We start from the raw sequence: 19,840 nt of genomic DNA, 5'->3' as shown, positions 1-19,840 counted from the left end.
GCTCAGGAGACAATACTCATACAATGTCAGAGAACAATTAAATTGCATTAACCTACTTCAAATATGTCCAATTTCAACTCAAATTGTATTGATACTCATAATTATACTTCTTACTAACCTGTTATCTTTAAATTGCAATAAAATAGAATTCTTTAGAATCAAATCAATAATCCCTCCAAAAAACAGATACAGAAACAAAGACCAAAGTGCTTTGTACAAACTTCAAAGGACTGAATACAAAGCTTACATGGTGGCCTATGTGATGAAAAAGCTTCCTAACAGAGCTCTGAAAGACAGAGCCCAAAGAATCCATACTTGCACTGAAATCCAAATCTGCATTAAAAATGGGTAGATATGCAGGAGGCAGAGTTTGCAGTGAGCCGAGATCATGCCACTGCACTCCAGCCTGGGCGACAGAGCAAGACTCCATCCAAAAAAAAAAAAGGGGTAGATATGAAATATTAATAGTTGCAAAAAAAAATACCTATCTTGGGTATGTTGATAGCCCTTACTCTATACTTGGATCATACATTAACTTTTACATGTTTAATATTCAAGAAATAGCAAATACAGCATAGACACAATCTTCCACTCTATTAATGGAATAGCTCTGATAATTCCTTTGCTTTCTGGCAAAGGGCCAGAAACTATATGCCCATCATGGACATCTGAGCTTTCTGCCAGAGAGTAAGAACAAGGGAGCCCCAAGCTCTCAAGTGGACTCATGCAGCTCTAATCATCTTATCCTAACTGCTACTATGTTAACTTAGAACCAGGAAGCTCTAGGTCTGATCCTCTTTTCTTTACTCAAAGGTTTTAAAATACTAGTACCAAGTCAATCAAGAAATATCATTTCTAACCAAAGGACCAGTGGGTAAAAAAGTCTACATAGATGCTGTGGGTCTTCAGGGATCCCAGGCCGGGTCGTTCCCTGAGGAGGAAGCTTGGTTGAGTGCGGGACTTTGGGGTTCAGACCTCCAGTGTGTAAATTCTGGCTCCACTTTCACTAGCTGTGAGAACTTGATTGCATCACTTCACTGTCTCCAAAGCCTCACCTGTAAAATGGGAACAACAGTACCAGCCTCACTGGGCTTTAGTGAGAGATTTAAAAAATGCTTAATCAAAGCAGGACAAGTAAGTGAGACAATTCAAGGCTATTCCTTAATTATCCATCTCAGCCAAACTACTAGGGGACAGGGCAGTGGCTGGAGGACAGTCAACTCCGCCCCCTCCACCCCCAACACAGTTTTCTTCCTCAGAAGAGACATTTCTGTGAAGAATAATTCAAGGCACTCTTCGATGTTATACTTTCCTTGCCCTTTTGCCATGGAAGGCTTTAAAGAAGGATAAGAAATAATTTCTAGAAGGTCAAACCAAGGGCAAAGCACACTGGCGTGGTATTATTAGCATTGTCCAAACTTCCATGTTGGCCCCAAGCCAGCCCTCCCCACACATCCTTGGTTTACCAGGGCCTGCCTTGGCCAAATACCCTTAAATTTTCCAAAATCTGAGGGAAAATGTGCCTACACAGCCAAAATCTATCTTCATTTATGATCGGGTTTGGAATAAGGTGCTAATGGATGAGATTATAGTTTTACCGCAGTGCACCAGCCAATTATGTTCTAGGGCTAGGGCTGCATCAAAAATATTTCTAAATGCCTTCTGTTTATCCAAGGAGCTAACTCTGGGCCCATGCACATGCACCCAGCACCGCCTTCCCCAGGGTATGTTTAGAGCATACTATGCTCTAAGGAGTCTGCGTGTGGGCCCAGACAGCAGGGAGCTGGAGCCACACTGGCCACATGGTTGCATACCAGAGTCCATCAAAGGCCTAGCTAAGAACAGCCAAGCATTTAAATGTTCATATATGAGCTATCAAAGCCACTCACAGAACCAGCTCCGCAGATCGGGGCCAAGACAGACAGGAAATTTTTCCCCACGTGGGAGTAAAGCTTCATAGAATTTGCCACAGAATCCCACTTCTCTGTGTTCCTCTCACATGTCTTAGTACCTCTCTTTCTCAAGGTACCAGCATTCTCATTTGCAACGCTGGAAGGCCTGATCTCCCCATGCTTTGCCTAAATAACATAACCTCCTAGGAGTTGAATTCTTTATGCTCCAAAATCATCTCTTCTCCCCAAATCCCAGCCCCTATCCTGTCCAAGCCAATCTTGTTTAAGATCAAATACAGTTATCTGACTGAATCATTATACAGGGAAACATGTATGATAAAAACCTCACACTGGAATTTTTGACAGAATGGGAATGCTTTTGTCCAAAGAATCCCCGGGGGAAGATTTATCCATATCCTAATAGAAAAGGTAAGAAGTTTGAACTCACCTGCCCCCACACCCAGCTTCCAGCCCATGCCTCCATGGTTAACAGGGAATCTGAAATTCTTCAAGGGGCTTGAGCAGAGGTAACTGCCCAGTTCAAACTCCACCCTGCTACCAGAATAAGTATCCGCCTTGCTTTGTTGCCCAGAACAACTGCAACTCATGAGTGATTCTGTCCCCAGCCCTCTACTTCCTGAGGCCACTTCCCAGAGCAATGCATGGATTCTTCCTACAGACCCCACCCTTCAAAAGTCAGTTCCAGCCCTGCCCTGCCCTGGGTGGCACCAGCTGACCTGGGAGTTGCCTCTTGGGAAACTGGACTGATATTAGAAGAGCTGGGCTCACAAGATACTTGGTCCCTCTCCAAGCCACTAAGTAATCTCTGCTCTCCAGTTGTTGCTTATGCAGCTTGGCCACCTGTTCACAACTTTAAAAAAAAATCAAGAAATGAGGCCGTGAATCATGATTTCATGAGCAGTCACAGGAAGAAAAAGTATATGGACTGCATCTGGTTTAAATATGTAAGATATGTCTGGGGCAAGAGCGGAGGCATGTGTGGCAGTGGGAGACAGTAGGGAAAATTCAAAGCAGAAGTTCTTCTGAGGACAGAGCAGTGGCTTTTTTTTTTTTTTTTTTTTTGAGGCAGAGTTTTGCTCTTTTTGCCCAGGCTGGTACAATGGCACAATCTCGGCTCATTGCAACCTCCACCTCCCAGGTTCAAGTGATTCTCCTGCCTCAGCCTCCCAAGTAGCTGGGATTAGCCCGCCAACACGCTCGGCTAATTTTTTGTATTTTTAGTAGAGATGGGGTTTCACCATGTTGGCCAGGCTGGTCTCAAACTCCTGACCTCATTTTTATATATGCAACAAGCCAGTCTATCTGCAAACAGGAGAAAAGTGTAGGTGTCATAAGAAACCCTAAATGTACTAAGTGAAATTTTAAGAGAATAATGAGAAAATCATTTTTAATACCACTGTCTCTAAGGGAAGGGGCTATTGCTCTTCAAAACCTAGGAATCAAAATAGGAATTTAGGAATATATCAGGTACTGGCTTCTTGTTCCACTAAATGAAGTTCTATTGTTCTATGAATGGAAGCTCATCCATCGCACTATTTAAAATAGAGAAAAGTGCAATCACCATTCTCTCATCACTATGTCAAACAAGAGATATGTGAATAAAACAAGTTGAAGATGAATTCTTAGAATACTTCACTTCTTTCCTTCTCTCAAAAAAAGTAAGCTGCATTAAAAAGAAAACTAAGAAACAGAATCTACCTCCTTCCCTCCCACCTTCATTCCTAAAAATGAAGCTGCATTCCATTTGACAACCTCCCAGTGACGTTAGAGGCGTGTGACTCATTGGTTTTAATCTGCCATTGCTACAAACATGCCATAATCATTGTGGAAACTATTAAAGTGACACTTGAGAAAATAAGATCATCCCTGGAGACAATTAGTGAACCCAAATATATGAACCTGACGATTTCTGTACTTACTTAATTGAGAAAAAAACTTAGAAATTCAACACTTTGCCCTAGCAACATAATGCTTATTCCAATCTTGATAAGTGAATAAGTACCCTCTTGTTAAAAATAATTTGTTATTAAATTTCACAGCTCTCCCACACACTACTAAGAATAGCATAGTTTCACTTAAAGAGAAACAAACCACACACACACGCATTCAAAGACACCGGCACACATTCCCACTTAAGTAACACAGCAGAGGAGTGCTGCTGCAGGAGCCGAAAGGTGGGTTTAATCCCTAACCCTCTCAACCAGAGACTTATAATGCTTCTTTTCTACTTTTTGTAAAATGCTTGTTATTACGTAAAGCTAACTTCACAACTGAGACGTGTGTCTCCCCATTAGACGGTAAACCACAAACAGAGTGCATATTAAGGTGACTACTGAATACAGAATTTAGTATCCACTATGTATGATCTGTTTATTAAATGGAGTTATGACATTCGGTTATATAAAATGTGTTGAGGGAGAGAGTAGATGTCAAGCAAATAAACTCACACATGATTTTTCTCCTGTGATTAACAAAGGCAATTATTATATTACATAATTAAGTATAAAGTAGGACTTAAACAGATCCCAACCAGAAAACACTTCACTGATACTATGTCCTTAAGATTTTTAAACTGATCTTCCAAACAGTTTAAAAGGTGATAATGCTAGGTAACTGCAGCAATGAAAATAGTAGGCTTTGGTTTTAGACATGTTAAGTGTCAAACACTTAACGTAAAAATGTTGAGTAGGTAAATTGGTAATTAGACATTCGAATAAGATGATCAAGGTAGAAACTTAGACTAGAGATGTAATTAGTGGAGTTGTCAGCACAGAGATGAAATAGAACCTCATAAGACTGAATGGAATCACCTAGAAAATAAGTAGAGAGAGGCCGGGCGCGGTGGCTCACGCCTGTAATCCAAGCACTTTGGGAGGCCGAGGCGGGCAGATCATGAGGTCAGGAGATCAAGACCATCCTGGCTAACACGGTGAAACCCCATCTCTACTAAAAATACAAACAAACAAAAAAAAATTAGCCAGGCGTGGTGGCTGGTGCCTGTAGTCCCAGCTACTCGGGAGGCTGAGGCAGGAGAGTGGCGTGAACTTGGGAGGTGGAGCTTGCAATGAGCCGAGATTGCGCCACTGCACTCCAGCCTGAGCAACAGAGCGAGACTCCATCTCAAAAAAAAAAAAAAAGAAGAAAATAAGTAGAGAGAGAAGTGGTCCAGGGATTGAACCCTCACAAACCCAACACTTAAGGGTTAAGAAGTAGAGGAGAAACCAGCAAGACCAACAGAAGGGACACCCAGTGTGGCAGGAGTGGCCACTGCAGTGCAGGCAAGCAAGACACAGACACTTTATATCAATCATTATGTGGACTATTCTACATTGTGTCCTTTAACCCATATGACAATGTAATGATGTTGAGATTAGGCAGAGCCAACAGTACTATCGAGAGGTGGAGCAGATGAGGGGTGAGGATGAACTAGTGGGTCATCTTCTTACCCATCTCTACATCTCACACACATTCACGCCACACACACAATTACTAAATTACTAGTGACTTCTCTTCAAAGGAGGACAAAGAGTAGAGATGAGTATTAACATCAACAAAAATTTTCTCCAAACCACTGATATTCCTGAAGACACAACTTAAAAGAATACTAAACTAGACATTTCAGGTGTCCTTCCAGACTTGATCCCATGCTCAAAACCAATATAAAACTTGATAATATAAATCTTTTAGTCTTTAGGATCATGATATTGGAATAAAAATAAAGTTGCCTGATTATATGTTTTCATCCAAGTGTTTTGCAAACTGTACCATGAAACAGGAGAAACTGGCAACATTTTAATAGGTCTGAAGGTCAAAACATTTTTAAAAGTACTAATTCTATGCTGTCCTCTTGAATACACATACTAGCAAATTGAAATTATGAGAAGTCCTATAACAAAGACCTATTTTACTTAAACTTTGAAAAATTTATTTTTTTGGCAGAACAGTTTAAAAATCTTAAGGACACTAGTATTAATGAAGTGTTTTCTAGTTGTGATCTGTTTAAGTCCTCCTTTATACTTAATTATGTAATATAATAATTGTAATAATTGCCTTTATTAATCACTTTCTATCAATCATTATGTTGAGTATTGTACATTATCTCCTTTAATCCACACAACAATGCAATGATTTTGACATTAGGAAACTGCAACTCCAAAAGCTTAAGAAACTTTGCCAAGGTTACAAAACTATTAAGGTTTGATGTGATTCATAGGCTTTCCCAAGACCCTGTTTTATTAATAGTATGAGGGTAATCACAAATATTTTCTACCTTACTATATTTTTAAAATAAATTACTTCTTTCTTAATCCCAAAAAGTTATCTTCATCATATCCTGAACTATAACTCATTTTTTTCTCAAAGTATTGATTCAAACCCTGTTGCCAATAATTTCTTTCCTAAATCTGTCACCCAAAGACAATGGTAGAAGTTCCCCACTGCCATTTTTTCTGACAAAATTTAGATATTTTCCACTATCCTGTATATACAACACACTACAGAATTTCACAAATGAAATATTGCCAAAGCACTTTTTAAAAGACTTATAAGTAAATGAAATACCATCAATTCTCATACTGAGAGATCAACAGTATTCATTTCCTGTATTTTACCACTGCTGGGTCCTTATAAGTAAGATTTCTGTAAAACAAATATCTATCAACTGAAAATAAACAAGATTACAAAGCAAGCATGTACAAGATTAAATAGAAAAATCTGTCAATTTCCTGAAGTTACATTTTATTATCTTAAAAAATAAAGATAATATCCATCTTTAGGTTTTGTGGAAATTAAACACATTTAAAATGCCTAGCACATAAATACTTGTTTCCTTTCTGATGTACATGGAAGTTCTCTGTAAAGCATAAGCTGATGTAAATTGTTGTTTATAAGTTATCACTGCACCTATTCCTTAGCTGTGATTTAATATATATTAAATGTGCTGTGTGATATGAACCCTGGTCAAAATAATGCATGCCAAACTATGTATGCATGCAACACATTCAGAAGTCTACATATTACTTAAAAATAAATTATTCTACCCTGCCTATAAGTGGGAGGTTTCAAAATTTTAATTTTCAACCATGAGGAAAATTAGTACCCTCCCCAAATGAGATTCCAAACCCTCAAGTTTTATGTCATAAATCACTCTAGTCCTAAATATTGCCTGCTCCACAAAAGCCTCTTTATCTCATGTTTACTGGCACAATCCCAAGATACAACACACTAAATTTTTCACAATTTGATTTATGCCAAAGGTTAATCGAGATAATATAATTTTAGACCAAGGTTTCTCAACCTCGGCAATATTAACATTTTGAACCTCATAATTCTCTGCTTCGGGGGGAAACTGTACTATGCATTGTGGATGTTAAGTGGCATGCCTGACCTCTACCCACTAGATACCACTGCCACTCCCTGGCCCCAGGCATGAAAATCAGAAATGTCTCCAGATATTGTCAAATGTCATGGGGCCAAGGGAAGGGGGGTACAAAATTTCCCATGGTTGAGAACCACTGTTTCGGTGGATCTCAGAATTTAGCTAACTCCACTAATCAGATAAAGCAGACTTGAGGTTCCCAGGGGTCTAAAATTAGCTGAAAGGCTCATTTAAAGACTGTAACCTAGAAAAGGTATTAAATATATAAGCAAAGCAAACAGACAAGCAAGGAATACACACCTAAGAAGTTAATGAAAAACATACCATCAGACCAAAGGGCAAGACCTACCTCAGTGCCTAAACCATTAATAGATACTCAGTAAACATATATAGTAAATGCAGGAAGAATTACAATTTAGTAGAGCCAAGAGCTCAACATTCTTGCCACCTTGGAAGAAAAACTCATTCAAGCTCTCTTGTCTTTCAGATACAAAGTGGCAGGAAATGATGTATCTGGCCCGGTAGGTTGGCTCATGCCAGTATTCCTAGTACTTTGAGAGGATGAGGTGGGGTAATCACTTGAGGTCAGGAGTTCCAGACCAGCCTGGCCAACATGATGAAACCCCTTCTCTTCCAAAAATACAAAAATTAGCTGGGCATGGTGGTGAGGCCTGTAGTCCTAGCTACTCAGGAGGCTGAGGTGGGAGGATCAATTGAACCCAGGAGGCAGGAGTTTGCAGTGAGCCAAAATCGCACCACTGCATGCTTCAGCCTAGGCAACAGAGCGAGACTCTGTGTCAAAAAAAAGGAACATATCAGATCTTCATTTTATCCATTACAATGATATTGCAAAATATTTCTAGCAAGTGTAACCAACTTAGATGACCCTGCTCCCTCAGCTGGGCCTTATTTAAGCAATTACCTAATATTACACATTTTAGATGCCATTTTTATGCATTCCAAAATGGTTATGTATATGCTGTAAAATACATCTGTGCATAAAATATACTGTATGTGAATAATCCATGTTATGCCATCACAAATGGTTTTCTTAGCTACAGAAAAAGATTCCATTTTGAATTCTTTGTTCCTACTCCACACTTTAAAATACTGAAAATTTATTGAGTTCAGTGGGAGGTTGAATAATGACCCCACTCCCCACCAAGGTCTACTTCCTAATCCCTAGAACCTGTGAATGTTACCCTACATGGCAAAAAGGACTTTACAAATGTGATTAAAGATCTTCAGATGGGGAGACATCCTGGATTATCCCAGTGGGTCCTAAACATAATCACAAGTGTCCTTATGAGAGGGAGGAAGAGGGAGACTCGACTGTTGTAGAGGAGAAGGGATTGTGACCACAGAGGCAGAGATTGGAGCAGTGATGCAGCCAGGAGCCAAGGAATGCTTGGCTATCCCTAGAAGAGACAGAAAGAAGTGGATTCTCCCCTGGAGCTGCAAGAAGAAACCAACCCTGCTGATGCCTTGTTTTTAGCCCCTTAAGACTCATTTTAGACATGACATCTAGAGACATGTAGGAGAGTAAGTTTGTGTTGTTTTAAGTCACTACATTTGTGGTCATTTGTTATAGCGGCAACAGAAAATAAACACAAGTACTATACAGCATTGCCCTACACATTTCATATGCAGCTTAATTTTATCACCAATGCAGTTCTATATTCAGTGTTATTCACATTTTACAGAGGTGAGACTGAAGCTTAATGAGATTAAGCAATTTTCCAGAAGTCACCTTTATTATATTGTTATAATTCAAGCCCCAGTTGATCTGACCTAAAAGTCTATTCACAGCATATGAGGATCATTTGGCTGAAGAAAATGAAACACCTACTCCTAATTCTCCCTTTTAATCCTCATCTACAGCTAATCAATGCCAACAGTTTATGACAGTGAAGCTCATAGTTCACAGCTGAATTTTGTTACCAAATTTTCACATGAAACTTTTTAATTCTAATTAGTTTAAGACAAAGTTGACAAATGGGATCTAATTAAACTAAAGAGCTTCTGTACAGCAAAAGAAACTACCATCAGAGTAAACAGGCAACTTGCAAAATGGGAGAAAATTTTTGCAACCTACTCATCTGACAAAGGGCTAATATCCAGAATCTACAATGAACTCAAACAAATTTACAAGAAAAAAACAAACAACCCCATCAAAAAGTGGGCAAAGGATATGAACAGACACTTCTCAAAAGAAGATATTTATGCAGCCAAAAAACACATGAAAAAATGCTCATCATCACTGGCCATCAGAGAAATGCAAATCAAAACCACAATGAGATACCATCTCACACCAGTTAGAATGGCAATCATAAAAAGTCAGGAAACTACAGGTGCTGGAGAGGATGTGGAGAAATAGGAACACTTTTACACTGTTGATGGGACTGTAAACTAGTTCAACCATTGTGGAAGTCAGTGTGGCGATTCCTCAGGGATCTAGAACTAGAAATACCATTTGACCCAACCATCCCATTACTGGGTATATACCCAAAGGATTATAAATCATGCTGCTATAAAGACACATGCACATGTATGTTTATTGCGGCACTATTCACAATAGCAAAGACTTGGAACCAACCCAAATGTCCAACAATGATGGACTGGATTAAGAAAATGTGTCACATATACACCATGGAATACTATGCAGCCATAAAAAATGATGAGTTCATGTCCTTTGTAGGGACATGGATGAAATTGGAAATCATCATTCTCAGTAAACTATCGCAAGAACAAAAAACCAAACACCACATATTCTCACTCATAGGTGGGAATTGAACAATGAGATCACATGGACACAGGAAGGGGAACATCACACTCTGGGGACTGTTGTGGGGTGGGGGGAGGGGGGAGGGATAGCATTGGGAGATATACCTAATGCTAGATGACGAGTTAGTGGGTGCAGCACACCAGCCTGGCACATGTATACATATGTAGCTAACCTGCACAATGTGCACATGTACCCTAAAACTTAAAGTATAATAATAAAAGAAAAAAAAAAGCAAAAAAAAAAAAAAAAAAAAAAAGGAAAATAGAGTAAGGTTAAAAAAATACTCCCAAGACATCATCTTTTCCATTAGATAATTATAAATGTATTTTTTAAAGTACAGGTGCCATTAGAAAAAGGAATGAGAAATTTCTTCTGTGCAAATACATTTTCAAACTTCCCAAGACTAATAAAAGCAAATCCAACCTATTTCATGAATAAAGTTGGAGGAATTGAGCAATAGTAATTGTCCAAAAAATTGTTGCAGGAAGTCAGGGAACCCAAACGAAGGGACCAGCTGAAGCCACGGCAGAAGAACATAAATTGTGAAGATTCATAGACATTTATTAGTTCCCCAAATGAATACTTTTATAATTTCTTACACCTGTCTTTACTGCAATCTCTGAACATAAATTGTGAAGATTTCATGGACATTTATCACTTCCCCAGTCAATAATCTTATAATTTCCTATGACTGTCTTTAATCTCTTAATCCCGTCATCTTCTTAAGCTGAGGATGTATGTCGCCTCTTGATCCTGTGATGATTGTGTTATCTGCACAAATTGTAGAGCATGTGTGTTTGAACAACATAAAATCTGGGCACCTAGAAAAGGAATAGGATAACAGCGATGTTCAGGGAACAAGGGAGATAACCATAAAGTCTGACTGCCTGCAGGGCCGGGCGGAACAGAGTCATATTTCTCTTCTTCCAAAACGAATAAGAGAAATATTGCTGAATTCTTTTTCTCAGCAAGGAACAGCCCTGGGAAAAGAATGCACTCCCAGGGGGAGGCCTCTAAAATAGCCACTCTGGGAGTGTCTGTCTTATGCAGTTGGGATGAAATACGCCCTGGTCTCCTGCAGCACCCCCAGGCTTGTTAGGATTGGGAAATTCCAGCCTGGCGAAATTCTAGTCAGACCAGTTCTCTGCTCTTGAACCCTGTTTCCTGTTAAGATGTTTATCAATGACAATGCATGCACAGTGGGACAGGGAACCTCATCAGTAATTCTAATTTCACCCTGGCCTTGTGACCTTGCCCTGCCCATTTGCCTTGTGATATTTTATTGCCCTTGAAGCATGTGATCTCTGTGACCCATACCCTATTTGTATACTCCTCCCCTTTTGAAATCCATAACAAAAACTTGCTGGTTTTGCGGCTCAGGGGGCATCACGGAACCTGCCAACATGTGATGTCTCCCCCGGACATCCAGCTTTAAAATTTATCTCTTTTGTACTCTTTCCCTTTATTTCTTAGACTGGCTGACACTTAGGGAAAATAGAAAAGAACCTACATTGAAATATTGGGGGCTGGTTCCCCCAATAAAAACATAAATCATAATGTCTGTTTTTAACTAAATATTTTGTTTCTGATAACTTGTATAAAGCTACTTGTCTTCAGAAAGTCAATGGGATGCGTTATGTCAATTTTTCCATTTACATAGCTATCCTTGATTTGATATATATACACAAATGCATGCACATGCACGCACATGCACTTCCTATTTAGCCTTCCATATAACACTTGGAATTTCAGAATATTAGAGTATCACCAATCATCCTGTATAAATCATTGAGAAAGAAGTGACAGGCTTCAAATGAATAATATAACTAGCTTTCAAATTCAGGTTAATATAATCCTGACATTCAGTTAACTTTCAAGTTCAATATACATTCAATCAGATGTCTTTCAGATTAGTTTACATTGATTGCAATCAATTTCAACGTTCCCATTTTATGTTTGAATATCTTGCAAAACCTTCCCAAAACTAATGAATTGAATGAGTTCTCCCCCCATCCCCATCTCCTGTTCACCATATTTAGTTCCAACCCAATTATGCTAATACTTCCCAGGAAACTTCTCAGCTGTGTCCTTTAGAATGCCACTGTCATTATCTCTGCCCAGAATTTAAAGTTTGATAAGTTCTTAAGTGCATGCATCACCTAATCCTCAAGCCTGCACACCTTTCCACATGCTCTGTCCTGGTTGTACAGGCTTGAGGATTAATGATGCATGCACTTGGGTGAGGAGCCTCCAACTTTCAGCATCAGAAGCTGAGGCCTAAGCCAAACAACTCCCTTTCCTGAAAACTCTCATCACCAAATCCCATCAATTCGAGCTCCTAAATATCTCTTGAATTCATTCTTCTTCCTCAGATGACATTCACTTCCTGCCAGCCTCCAGTCTTGCCTTATACCCTTCTCCTCCTCCACAGAGATGCCTCCAGGACCTTCCTAAAATATTGGGAGAGTTGGGGGTATAGTAATACATGTTTTAATGAGCCCTGCAGGTAATTCTGATGCATGCTAATGATTGAAAGCCCTTGCCCTAGCAATATACCAAAGTTAAAATTACGTCTGAACTGAAACTACAGCTTCAACGAGTTTAGCTACTACCCTGAAAAAAAGTTCAGTTGAAACATAAGTCCTCTAGCCTTACCCAACTAGAATTAAAAACAAACAATAAAAAGCACAAAGAAACTCGAAGTTAAGTGAAACGCCTGGAACGACTGCCAATGATTTTCAAGTGTTGACTTCAAAAAAACTCAATATGCCTTACGGTGCTTACATCTGCTTAAGGGCGCATTGTTAAAAGGCACTCGATTGGCCGGGCGCAGTGGCTCACGCCTGTAATCCCAGCATTTTGGGAGGCCGAGGCGGGTGGATCACGAGGTCAGGACATCGAGACCATCCTGGCTAACATGGTGAAACCCCATCTCTACTAAAAATACAAAAAATTAGCCAGGCATGGTGGCAGGCGCCTGTAGTCCCAGCTACTCGGGAGGCTGAGGCGAGAGAATGGCTTGAACCTGGGAGGCGGAGGTTGCAGTGAGCTGAGATCGCACCACTGCACTCCAGCCTGGGAGACAGAGCAAGACTCCATCTCAAAAAAATATAAATAAATAAATAAATAAAAACCACAGATCTTGAGTCCACAGAACAAAATGTTTCAAGTAGCACCGAAGAAATTACTTTCATAAGATGTCTGAAAAGTCAACCACAGACAGCTTTAAAGGAATCCTATTTAGAAGGTTAAAATAAGTTACCTTGCATTGGTTTTAAAATGTCCTCATAATACCATGCATTCTTGTCGTAGTCTCTGAAGAAGGGTAATCAGTGAGAAACCAGGCTAGAGATATTTTTGTATTGCCTAATCTCTAATTTGTTTTTCCCAGTTAAGAAAATCAGAAGTGGCCAGGCACGGTGGCTTACGCCTGTAATCCCAGCACTTTGGGAGGCCGAGGCGGGCGGATCACGAGGTCAGGAGATCGAGACCATCCTGGCTAACACGGTGAAACCCCGTCTCTACTAAAAACACAAAAAATTAGGCGGGCGTCGTGGCAGGCGCCTGTAGTCCCAGCTACTCGGGAGGCTGAGGCAGGGAAATGGCATGAACCCGGGAGGCGGAGCTTGCAGTGAGCCGGGATCGCCCCACTGCACTCCAGCCTGGGTGACAGAGCGAGACTCTGTCTCAAAAAAAAAAAAAAAACAAGAAAAGAAAATCAGAAGTAAATAACATTCAAATAATTTATCTGAATGTGATGAAACATTAAATGAACATGAATTTAAGGCCACCTTCCAAATCCTACAGAGAATTATAATACCAAAGTATTTTCCACAAAAGTAGTGATGTGTAAATAGAGTTAAGGCACCAGATTTAAAACAGGAAAACAGACCAACACTCTGAAAATAGGTATGCAACATGAATGAAGAAAAATATACCGTGGCTGGGAAGAAAAATTTAATTGCCATTGGTAAACTTTCTTCTTTATATTCTTAAATGTGGAATAGCATGAACATATTCTGGTTTGCTGGTTAAAGCAGGTAAGTTGTCTTTAAAATTTAAGGCTAGCCTTATTTTATACAGATTCCTAAATCCGAACTATAATAATAAAGCAAAATGTAAACAAAGTACCATTCATATAGACAGTTTCACTGAAATGAGTGAACACTGGGGGAGGAAGAAAAAAAAGAAATAAAACAGTGTCCTCATTCAAGTCCATTGCCAGCTGAGCTGGCGATGAGATGCAGTGAAAATAACTACACCTGGACAGCGGATGTGGCACTTCCATCCACATCTCCATCTTAGCTCACTGGCTGACATTGCAAACGCCACCTCACCTCATCTGGGACACTTTTCTCACATGCAAAAGGACTGCCCTGAATGAGATTATGTCCTTAGTACCTTCCAGCTCTGGTATTCTGATTTTTACCTCTTAACAAAGGAACATTTCTTAAAAGTGCACATTTCTCAAATTAACAATTCACACTACAATTTTTAAATTGATAGGAAAATCAACCTAGAGCTTTACTAGTGTCCCTAGAGAGGCTCTCTCTCAGAGGCTTTCTGGTAAGTTCAAATAAAACAGTGAACACTCACATCAACTGTATGACATGCATGATGAAGCACTCTGAACTAATATTAGATGTTCCCATGTATTACCTCGATTAGAATTGTGGGATAACGTGCTCCAGAGCTGTTGAAGGCTAATAACTTTTTTACACTATATTTATCTCCTCCTAACCTATGTCAATTTTTTAAAGTCTTCAGAAATTAAAATTCTTTTGAAATCACAATCGAAGTTATTGGTAGCAAAAAATGGGTATGTTATCAAAGTCATTCATAAAAGCTATTCCAAGAAGTTTTTTAAAAAGCTTTCAAATCATATAATTCCAACTTTCTTCTTACAGTTTCAATAGAGTATAAAAAGGGATCAAACACGAGATTGTCAAATTATTGACTTAGGAGTGGGAGACAAGGAAGAGAACAATGAACAATGCACCTGGAGGCAAGGGAAATGACTATACAGAAGTTCAAATGTTGATCGAGATAAGTCCTTCCTGGTTCTGTAATTCCCACGATTTTATGAATGAACTAACTTCAAAAAGACTTGTGGCCCTTAGACACAATCACTTACTACGACTTAACGTTATATATATATATATATATATATATATATATATATATATATATCCGATATATATACATGGCATATATATATATATATATGTATGTATGTATGTATATATATATATATATATCCACAACATTTCTTTATCCAATCATCCATTGATGGACACTTACGTTAATTCTGTATCTTTGCTCTTACAAATAGTGTTGCAATAAACATGACTGCAGGTATCTTTTTGATATTCTTTCCCTTTAGGTAGATACTGGATAGATGACTGCTGGCTCAAATGGTAGTTCTATTTTTAGTTCTCTGAAAAATCTCCACACTGTTTTCCATAGAGGTTGTACTAATTTACATTCCCACCAACAGCATCGTGTCAGCATTCCCTTCTATCTGCATCTTCACCAACATCCAACATCTTTTTGGGTTTTTTGACTTTTTAATAATAGCCATTCTGACTGGTATAAGGTATCTCATTGTGGTTTTAATTTGCATTCTCTGATGATCAGTGATGTTGAGCATGTTTTTCATGTGTTTGTTAGCCACTTACATATCTTCTCTTGAAAAATGTCTGTTCAAGTCCTTTGCCCACTTTTTGACAAGGTTGTTTTTTCTTGTTGAGTTCCTTGTAGATTCTGGATATTAGCCCTGTGTCAAATAGTTTGAAAATATTTTCTCCCATTTTTTAGATTATACATTTACTCTATTATTTTTATTTATTTATTTTTGCTTTGCAGAAGCTTTTTAGTTTAATCCATTTAAGTCTCATTTGTCTATTTTTTGTTTTGTTGAGTTTACTTTTAAGGACTTCGTCATAAATTCTTTGCCTGGACCAATGTCCAGAAGAGTTTTTCCAGGTTTTCTTCTAGGATTTTTATAGTTTCAGGCCTTACATTTAAGTCTTTAATCCACCTTGAGTTAATTTTTGTATACGGTGAGAAGTGTGGTTCTGTTTCATTCTTCTGCATATGGCTATCCAGTTTTCCCAGCAACATTTATTGAATAGGGTGCCCTTTCCCTGCCGAGAACTTTAAAAGATACTAAAGGCTCAACTCAATGAGTTTTTGCAGATAAAGTTTATCAAAACTCTTAATGATATTGTTAGCATACAACATTAATTCCAACAGCTAGTTTTATTTGCTTTTAAGTCTACTGAAGAGGTTTTTCTAAAAACATACTTAAAATATTATACCCAAAAGAACCTTCCTGACATTCTCTCTTCCTCGCCCTGCTTTATTTTTCTTCATAGTCCTTATCACCTCGCATTATTTTTTATTAGATAATCTCTTTGCAACATTGGGTTAGGCAAAGATTTCTTAAGCAGAACACAAAAAAGTATGGATCATAAAAGAAAAAATAACCAAATGGTAATTTCATCAAATCTTCTGCTCTTCAAAAGACAAACTGTGAAACAAGACAGCAAGTAACAGACTGGGAGAAGATAACTGATATATCTAACAAAGGGCTTCTAACCACAATATATAAGGAAGTTTTATAATTCAATGAGATAAAGACAACTCAGTTGTAAGAAGTTGGCAAATGATTTTAAAACATTCAGATAATAATGTATATTAAAACAGCCATTAAGTACATGGAAAGATGCTCAAAAATCACTAGTCATGAGGAAAATGTGAGCTAAAATCATAATAAAATACCACTATGCACTAAGTAGAATGACTAAATTCAATAGACTGATAATATTAAATGTCGAGGAGAATGTGGGACAACTTATATTTGTAACAGTATTATCCACAATAGCCAAAACTTGGATACACAAATGTCCATCAACTGGTGAACAGATAAACAAACTGTGGCAAATCTACATTTGGAAATACTGCTTAGTAATAAGGAATTACTCAACATGAATCAATTTCAAAAAAGTAGGCAAATTGAAAGGGATAAAACACAACAGACTACATACTGTATGCTCCTCTTATATGATATTCTAGAAAAAGCAACACTATAATGAACTATACTGTGGCTAGAGTTCAGGTAAGAGGTTGATCTTAGGGACATGAGAAAACTTCTAGGGTTCTATAGCTTGATTATGGTGATGGTTACTCAACTGTTCATTACAAAAACTCAAGCTGTAAACAAAATAGAATAAATTTTGTTATAGGTAAATGATACCACAATAAAGCTGGAAAAAAAAGTAAAACAAAAGGCAAAGATGGGTAAGAAGTGTCTCCTAGAGAAGAAAACAGCATAGAAAAAGTATGGCTTGGTTTTGGAGTCAGCAGTGATCATTTTACACCAGCAAGAAAGCATAGGCAAAAAACAAAACAAAACAAAAAAAAAGCAACACCAGGAAGTGCTCATTTTTAAAAACGGAATGAGGAATACTTCTCTTTCCACCTTCACTTCCTCAGAGCTGGACTTTGTTTTCCTACAAATGACTATTATTGCTTCATAGATGCCTCCCAAATCTACAAAGCCAGTGTTTATTTCTACTTAAATATATTGACAATGCCTATATTTCCATTTGAATGTTCTACTGTCACATCCAACACAATGTGTCAAAAAATTAATTTCCATCTCTTGCCTCCAAATCAGCTACCTTTTCTGTTTCTTTTAATGGTTGCACAGCTCAAACGCTAACTCTTCTTTCTCCTTCACTTGGCTCAATCCTCATCACGTCTTACTCCAAACATCTTTAGCATCTGTTTCTTCATCTACCTGTTCACTGCTTTCAGCAGTTGGCTTCCCTATCACCACACTCATTGACTGCCGTAATTACCTTACCTCTCTCTCAGCCTCCATACTTGTTCTCCTTCAATTCATTGTGTAGGCTACTTCATTACTCTATCTTTCTAAGTCTCTGATTTTAGCATTTTAATTATCTGCTCAAAAGTTTTTGGTGATAATCCCATTACCTGTGAGATAAAGTTTAAATCCCCTAGCCAGGATACTACAGGCCTCACTCAAGCTTGTCCCAACCTACCTCTCATCCTGCCTCCAATCTGCCCACCTCCATTAAAGACTCATGCCTTAAGCTTCCCCCATCAGAATGTAGGCCCGAAGAGCTAAGACCCTACTTAACTCATCTTTACTCAATGCTGTACCTCCAGAAGACTCTGTGAAATGTTTGATTTGGACTTCTTGCCTCTGTGCCCTTGGACATGCAGTGGTCTTTAACTTCTCATTTAAATCCTACCCATCCTTTAGATCCACACTCAAGACTTACATCCCCACCACTTTCATTAAACTCTCACTCCATCATGTGATCACTTTTTTTTATTATCTAAACCCTTGTTACTCAGTGTGGTCCTCACTGGCAAGACCTGAAGGCTCATTAAAAATACAGAATCCCAGCCCTGCCCCAGACCTAATGAATCAGTCTGCATTTGAACAAGATCCCTGGTTGTTTTCCATGCACATTGAAGTTTGAGAAGCACTTGTTTAAAGCACTCTAACTCTCTGTAAAGTCTGAGTACATTCTTACCCATAGCTTCTAAAAATTACAAACTCCCCCATATCTCCAGAACTTCCTTATTACCATGTCTGACAGATACACATTAACATGTTTTTCTTTTGTTAAAAAAAAGAATTCCTTCATTTAGTCTTCATATCCTTCATTTGGACATAGAGACAATTTTATAAGAGAAACAGAACTGGGTTTGGAGTCATATGAGGGTTTCCATTTGCACCATTTACTAAGCCTATGACCTTGAGCAGGTCACTAAGCCTGCATCTCAGTTTCCATACCTGTAAACTCAGTCAACCACCCTATCTTATAAAGTGGTTGTAAGATTAGAAAAGGCATGAAAGCAAAACGTTCAAACAATTTCTTTCTATTCTCCACTCACTCAAAGGCAGTATTTTTCCTTCACTTATACATTTAATAGCTTTAAAACTCAAGTGTTTATCACATCTAACCCATCTACTAGTTATTTAAAGGAGAATTATCCCTGCTTGTCTTCTTTTGGTATATTCATATCTTGGGCTACTATTAGTTTCACGTGTCTTTGGCAATCTAAAGCATCTTATTCATGAAATGAAAGATTAATGAATATTTCTTCCTCCTAATAAATGGCAATCATTTGGAAAGTTAGAAATAATTATTTCTAAAGGCTTGGTAAGAAATGATAAGTTCATTTATTATAAATCTTGGTAAAGAAATTCTTAAAGTGTTTCTGTGCTTGAGTCATTTCTTGGGATTTGCTTTTCTGAGTCACTATTTGATCACCCACTCTCTTTTCTGCAACCAGAGAAGAGTTTCATCTTACTGGAATTAGACTGCACTATTTATTGTTACCCTTGATGTGCTATGCTTATCACCTGTTTTTAACCCTCCAATAGCTACACTGATAGCAGGATTGCTACTGAAGTAATTTTTCTTCTTTAATCCAATAGAATAGATACTTTTACTGTAATTTATGTTTCTGCTTACAATTTGGTCTCTGGAATAGAACTTCACATTATTAATCTTTAATTATTTGTATAAAATTTAATATGTAATCATCTAAATTACAACAAAATAATATCCCATGTTATGTTTTCTTTTTTAAAGACCACTTATTCCCAGCCAAGGACGTTTGGAGGAGAGAGACACAGTTTAGTTTGTTTTTAACAAGATTAAGTAAAATAGAGCATCAAAAATTGGTAAACAAGAGATTATTATAAATAAAATATACTTA

General features: G+C 38.1%; 1 protein-coding gene across 56 annotated transcripts in view, besides 1 other annotated feature; it reads right to left on the bottom strand.

Annotated features, from left to right (window-relative positions):
* LMO7 (LIM domain 7) overlaps positions 1-19,840 on the bottom strand; it is a 239,437-nt gene that overhangs the window by 68,443 nt on the left and 151,154 nt on the right. Inside the window, exon 1 of one of the 56 annotated variants that reach the window (XM_047430328.1) lies at positions 2,341-2,493. The exons of the other annotated variants lie outside the window; for them this stretch is intronic. The gene's annotated coding sequence lies outside the window, so the exon portion shown is untranslated. Of the gene's footprint in view, positions 1-2,340; positions 2,494-19,840 lie in introns of those variants that run through there. 56 annotated transcript variants of the gene reach the window in all.
* Positions 2,701-2,920: an enhancer, noted in NCBI's record as "active region_7835". NCBI's record gives its function as "activates an Ori minimal core promoter by ATAC-STARR-seq in GM12878 lymphoblastoid cells {active_cell/tissue: GM12878}" and the evidence as "EXISTENCE:reporter gene assay evidence [ECO:0000049][PMID:35858748]".

Source organism: Homo sapiens, chromosome 13, assembly GCF_000001405.40.
Source record: "Homo sapiens chromosome 13, GRCh38.p14 Primary Assembly".
NCBI lineage: Eukaryota > Metazoa > Chordata > Mammalia > Primates > Hominidae > Homo > Homo sapiens.
The sequence above is the reverse complement of the archived record's forward strand: the minus strand, read 5'-3'. Positions and strand labels throughout refer to the sequence as shown.